This window comes from Homo sapiens, chromosome 4 (genome assembly GCF_000001405.40).
Source record: "Homo sapiens chromosome 4, GRCh38.p14 Primary Assembly".
NCBI lineage: Eukaryota > Metazoa > Chordata > Mammalia > Primates > Hominidae > Homo > Homo sapiens.
This window is the reverse complement of record NC_000004.12, coordinates 115,414,299-115,420,968: the sequence shown is the minus strand read 5'-3', so window position 1 is coordinate 115,420,968 and position 6,670 is coordinate 115,414,299. Positions and strand designations below refer to the sequence as shown.

The window sequence follows — 6,670 nt, the reverse complement described above, 5'->3', positions numbered from 1 at the left end:
TTAAGGTTCTGACTTAATCGTGAGTGTGAAAAGTCTTTCAAAGTAGGGAAAGCAGTTTTTACAACATCTGGAATCTTTAAGGGTAACCCAGAGAAAGGAAGATTTAAGAAAGGAAGGTAGAAGTTGTTCATAGAGGGGAAGAGAATTAACAAATGACAAAACTCACACAACTATTAAAGTACTCATTCCCCAAGTTAGAATTGAACCTGGCTCACTATTGTAAAACTGCAGAGGTTACAGGTCATGTTCCTAAGAATGTAAAACAAGATGGAGGCCTGCTGCAAAGTTTGTTACTGGGCAGTTTGCTGGGCTGACGTGAACAGCTGGTTTATGGGGGTCCTAGGTCTGCATCTTATCTTAAGACATCCTTCTTTCTAACAGAACCATATAGAAAGATATGCAAAGCACACCAGATTGGCTACAGCTTAAAACCAACATCACAAATCCTTTTCCATTAATCAAAACTTTACAGAGAATATAAACAGTGATCCTTACCATTCCTTTTACTGGTTTGCACAGGGAGAGAGAAACCAAAAGTCCGAGTAGTAAAAATCTTTTACCTTTTTGCCAGCATCCCAGGCTTCCGGGTTCCCTTCCCCCAAGCTCAATTCTAAGCCAACCAGTTTAAGATTTAGGAAATTTTAGTTTTCCCAGTTTGGAGTATGCATCCAAGGGAAGTGTCCTGTAGTATGAGGACACAATTACCTATCTGTGAAGAGAGGACAGAGGAGAAAAAAGGAAAAGGAAGGCTATTTGTTTTTTATTTCAAATTTCTAGGGGTTCAGGAGAGATTCGAGAGAATTATAGATGGAAGAAGAAGATGAAAGGTTACCAATCAGGGAAGAGGGGATAAGGCACTCCTAACTCCCTTCTCTTCCCAGTGAATACCCAGACTATGTGAGGGAGAGAGAGGAGGCATCCGTTCTCTTTTTTCCATCCTTATATCCCTGAGTCCTGGTGACCTCAACAGGGTGCCACTGTGGGTGCCAATGCAGCTTTCACTCATGTTAACAGGGGATCTAGGGGCTGGGATTATCTACTCTTACCCACATACCCTCTGCCCCACCCTGCTGTTGTAACCTTTGAGTTCCCTAGACCTCATTTATTCCATGGATGTTAGCATGACCTCCATGCATGAAATGGGATGCTTGCCTTAATCAGCAGGAATTAGTCATGCTTACCTGCACTGTGCCTTCTAACCTCTGTTGTTGTCTGCCTCTGGATCCCTCCAATCCAGTTTTCTTTCCTAGGGCTTCAACCCAAAGCTTGGAATTGAGTTTGGGACAAAATAACTCCCTCAGGAGGTTGCATGGACTCATTATTAAGTGTCAGGTGTCCCTCGCCAGACGGCAGCCACCAGTCAGCAGCGTTGCTCCTTTGCTGCCTCCTCAAACAAGGAAGAGAAATGTATCTTGTGAACTGAGGTCCTGGCCTAGTAAAACACCTTTCAGAAAAATCCTCTGGCATAGACAAGTCCCCTGTACTCACAGGGCTATGTTATTAGGTTGGTGCAAAAGCAATTGCCATCCCTACCATTCTAATGGCAAAAAAACCCCACAACTACCTTCATGCCAACCCATCAACTCCTGACCTGGTAGAGAAAATTAAAAAAAAAAAAATTAAAAAATCAGCTTAAGTGTAGGGCTGTGTTAACTGCTGACAGGGTGGAGAAAAGAAAAAAGAACAGTTTGAGTGCTGGGTGGGGAAGATGCCTGGGGGAAGAACCTCCTATTCTTATGCAAATGGATTTCTCCAACAAGGAGAGAAACTCTTGCTGTCTTCTCCTTCCTGACTCATCCAGAGGGGGAAACATTCCATGGGCATCTGGTAGGAGGGGATGGCCAGCGGGAAATGCTGGCCAGCAGGACATGCAGGGCCCTTGGGGAGGAGGGGCAGGGGACGGGAGCCACCACTTGTCCATCTGTTCCGCACGTGAGCCCGTGGCCATTGGGGTGAGGGGTGGAACACCCCCAATATTGTAAGAGAAAAGATCGATGTCATTACAGTCCTGAAAAAACAAACAAACAAACAAAAACAAAAACAAAAATAAGGAAAATGCCAAAGAAAAGACTGGGTTGGACCAAGGCCAACATTCCCAACCCCTGAGAACAACGGTAGGAGTGGACAGTTTCCCTTGCCCTCAGAAAAAGTCTGAGGACGAGAAAGCTCAGAAACAAAAGTAAAAGAGATTTTTGTGTCTGCATTTTACTCACCCTTCTGATGTGTCCCCATATAGACCACCAAAATGATGCTGGATTTTTGTTCCTTAGTTCAGCTAAATCCAGGTTCTTTTCTCAAGACAGTGAAAAATTAGGAATATGAACACATTGAAGGGTGAGGAGGTTGGAATTTATTAAGTGAAAGGAAAGCTCTGCAAAGAGAGGGGTTCTCCAAGCAGATTTCCCCCTCACAATGGAGTACCAGGACTTCCACACACGAGCTGAAGAGGCCAGGCTCCTTCCATGCATAAGGCATGAATTCCTGGTGGCTTCACCCCATCCATCCAGTGTACATGCAGGCCCTTAGTCTGAGCCACTCCACATTGATTTATTTCCCTTACTGTGCATGTGTTAAGGGGTGGAATTTTTCAATGTGGGCGTGTGTAGGCAAGCCCCTTGTGCACAATGACCTGGGTGGTTTGGAGGTTCTTGGGGGACCCTCCCCTACCTGCCTAGGCACTTGGCTGTCTCCTGCCTCTATCAATGGTATTTAACAAATCTGGATAGTGTCAATTGCAATGATTTAAGTAGTTTTCATTCAGAATCTAAATGCCAGAAAAGTAGTAACATTTCCAAAGTGAGAATACTTGCAATGTCATAAGAAAATACAGAACTAATTCATTTACCCATCTTTTTATAAATTTCTTAGACATGAATTATTAATAACAAATTAGAAAATTATAATTTTTCCTACTCACTAGATATTAATGAGTTCTGACAATACAGCCATATTTCAAAATGCTTTTTAAAAAATATATTGATAATGTTACAATTGTATAAACATATCATTTGTGTTCTCGTATTTTGATACTTCAGCTGCCACTGAAAAGGAAAGGTGGCAGGGAACTGAACATCTAACATTGGCACAGTTTTTGCTTCATAAATAATCATTCTCATGATAAAGAAAAAGAGGCCTAAGGAAATTAATGAAAACTGAGTCAAAATCACATTTAAAGACAATGATAGTGTTCCAAAGCAAGTGTATCCGATCTCAAGACCTGTGCTCTTTTAACAACATTATGAATAAGAATTGATTTTGTTAAATGCTTAGACTAGTAATGTGAAATACTCAATTGGTCCTCAATCCCTCCATCATTTCACTGATATTAGACATTCATTTATATAGCCAGTATGCATGAACATGTCATCATAATTTTTCTAAGTATTAAATATAAATTCATCACAATAAATCTGATTTGAAACAATTCTTTGCCAACTAATTGTATAGATATTTGAAACATTAAAATAGAGAATCAAAGGTCTTGGAGACAGGTAGAATTTTTAAGGAGTCTAGAGAAGGAAACTCTATGTGACACATTTGGTATGCATTTAGATTTTTAAAATGTTTCAAACCAATAGTGAGGGTGGGCATAGAGACACAGGGGTATGGGCCTATAATGTGAGTTCTTCATCTAGATAGAAGCATCAAATATTCTGGAATTGCAGAGCATCAGATGTTAGCTCTGAAGAACCTATTACCAGAAACAATTATAGCACTTCACAGATGTTTGTATACTCCACAGATGTGTGTACCACACTAACACAAATGACTGCAACATGTGAGGAAATGCTTTTTTAAAAAATACTAATTAAGTGTTTTAGTTCTTCTCATTAATGATGCATATCATTTCCCTCTCCATTTTATTTTTTTGGACACTTGAACTCACTTGAAACATAGATAAGAATATTTTAAGGGAAATTATTCATCTACACTCTCCTTCATCTCCCCATTACCTGTTGAAAGAATATACAGAAATTTGGTAGTAAGTTTACATATCGGTTTTCTTTTTATTTTTTCTATTTTTATTAATCATTAAGGTACTCCTATTTTGTCTCACTCAAAATCTGCAGCTACTAATGCATGGTTTTCTTTATTAACTATTATTAAATTCTGTCATGCAATATGTCTAATTAAGTTTCAGTCATTAGAATTAATTTTAGGAAAAGTATTCGTCCCAGACATAGTGTACTAAAATACTTTATAGAGATGTTCTTAATTTACAAATATTTGGAGTACTTGGTTTCACTGCTTGTTGAGATACTTAGCCCTGTTTTGTTGCACTATGATTCTCAATATAATGCAATGTTTAAGGCAAGTTAAAAATTTTTTATGTTGTATAACATAAAAAATTATGCAACATAATAAGACTACAAAAAAGATCATACTCCATTTATTGTTTTATTTTTCTTATCATCTACATGGGGTTCCACCTTAACTATAGGGTGTGAAAAAACTTATCTCCACATCAAAACCATTTTTAGTTCCCTGTTACAAGCAATAAATTCCACCTGCCTGCAGTTGTCAAGTTATTGAGCCATTGTATGCTGGCACAATATCACAATATTACACACACACACACACACACACACACACACTTACACACAGAGATGACACAAAGATGTGATGTAGCACAGACTAGGAGTAGATCACTCTGCCAGGGGACACACACTGCTTCCTCAACATCTCCTGGGTCTTGGGGTAGAACAGACTTGCAGAGAAAGGCAAAGCTCCCACAGGGGTGAGAATTGCAATTTTCCCCACCCCCTGCGTAAACCTGTGGACTGGAGAATTAGGCTTATAATGTGCAAAATTAAAAGAACAGTAGGAAGGAAAAGACATGTTTTAAAAAGATTTTAAACTTGAAATGTAGGCTTATTTGATAACACGTATAGGACTAAAGTTTAATAGTATTAAACAACAAAATGCCTTTGACTCAACATTATTCAAGTTGTAGGAAAGAACAAAGAAGACACTTTCAATTTTGTATGTACTGTATTTTTAAGTAGATTGTGTTCCAATGTAAAACTGACATTTATGACTAGTAGATTTTGCATTTAAGAAACAGAGAAAGAAGGGGATTCAAACTGTGATTTCCAATTTTGCTCTAAAAGTGTGGCACAAAGAAATAACTATTCTTACTTAAACTATAATTTTCCAAGCTGTAGGCATAAACAATTTTAGAAGAAACCAGATGAAATACATGATAATAAACACTGAAACACCTTTTAGAACAAAAAACCCTACCCCACCCTGTGTGTGTGTTGTGTGTGTGAACATTTAAAAGTGCTCAATGAAAAACAGTAATGACCTTTCCTCATTCTGTTTCAATGAATAGAGTAATTTAGCCATCAGTATTATTATTAGAATGTAAAAGTAAGCACATAATTTTTTTAAATATTGCCTTTTTTGTCAGAAATTCCTTCTATTCTTTTATTCTTAAGATGAAATCACCTCTAAAATTGCACTTTTGTTTTCCTTCATATTATATGAATGTATATGTGCTTACATTAATGTGTAAGTATAAGGGTATATTTATTACATATTGTATACGCATATATGTAAAATTAAATATAATAATTTTTTTCCTCCTTTAATTTCTCTTCAGAAAATTATCCATATAGATGTTTTATGCCATAGGAAACATTGCCCAGGAAAAAGTCTTAGAATATAAGATTTTTAACACCTTAGAATTTTAAAAAAATGATTGATTTTGAAATGTGCTTTTAATTTTTTATATGTAGTAATAGTACACCATTATTGCATAACGAAATGCCATGAAGTTTTGTGGATGAATTGTATATCCTTTTTGGATTTAGTTACATTATGTAATGCAATTAGTTACATTATTTTTTATTTGAAACATGTATTGTTCCAAAACGTGATGTGAGAGCACACACACTCAAATTGAAAATACAGTAAATCAATTTCACTCTCTCTTAATGGTAATCTAGTATGTTGACTGTGTAAGTGTTAAAAAAAAGTAAATTATACAATTATATCTCAAAGGTTCCTCATGAAAAGGACTTTTAAAAGTCTAGGCCCCAACATACTAGACTAAAAATCAAAATGGAGTCACCCATGCTAAAGTTCCAGGTCACCAAATCGAAATAATCTCAGCTATTACCTGACCTTCCAAAAAATCAGGAGAAATAACAGCCAATTACCCACACAGGCCAGTTTAAATCTTCAGTGGGCATTGTAATGAAGTTCCCTCTGCTTTAATCCCTACGCAAAAGAAGGCTGAAGTAACCTAATATGAGCTATCAGTCATTATTTTATTGTTTTGTCTTCCTATCTCTGCCTTACAAAAAAATGGCTTTGAAAAGACTAATACACTCTTTGTTCTTTGCTTCTGCTTTCTTCAGTCCTTGACTGTATATAAATCCCACTTCTTTTGCTCAGCTCATTTGAACACTTATTCTATTTTATTAAATGAAATGCCCAGTTGTAGAATCCTGAATAAAGCCAATTGAAATGTTGAAACTAAAAAAAAAAAAAAAAGTCTTACTCATTTCAGATATTTTTAAAGTACTGATTAATAAAACAGATATTGAAATAATCTATGAAAGCCATTTTTTCTTTTCATAGTCAAGAGTATATGAATTTCATTCACGTACTTGCTATATATAATTACATCTTCCTTTCTCATTTTCTGTAGATACATTTGGAA

At 36.6% G+C, this 6,670-nt stretch overlaps 2 annotated features.

Annotated features, from left to right (window-relative positions):
* Window positions 1,149–1,768: an enhancer, noted in NCBI's record as "OCT4-NANOG-H3K27ac hESC enhancer chr4:116340357-116340976 (GRCh37/hg19 assembly coordinates)". NCBI's record gives its function as "activates a minimal SCP1, AML or CMV promoter by ChIP-STARR-seq in primed H9 embryonic stem cells {active_cell/tissue: H9 hESC(primed)}" and the evidence as "EXISTENCE:reporter gene assay evidence [ECO:0000049][PMID:30033119]".
* Window positions 1,769–2,387: an enhancer, noted in NCBI's record as "OCT4-NANOG-H3K27ac hESC enhancer chr4:116339738-116340356 (GRCh37/hg19 assembly coordinates)". NCBI's record gives its function as "activates a minimal SCP1, AML or CMV promoter by ChIP-STARR-seq in primed H9 embryonic stem cells {active_cell/tissue: H9 hESC(primed)}" and the evidence as "EXISTENCE:reporter gene assay evidence [ECO:0000049][PMID:30033119]".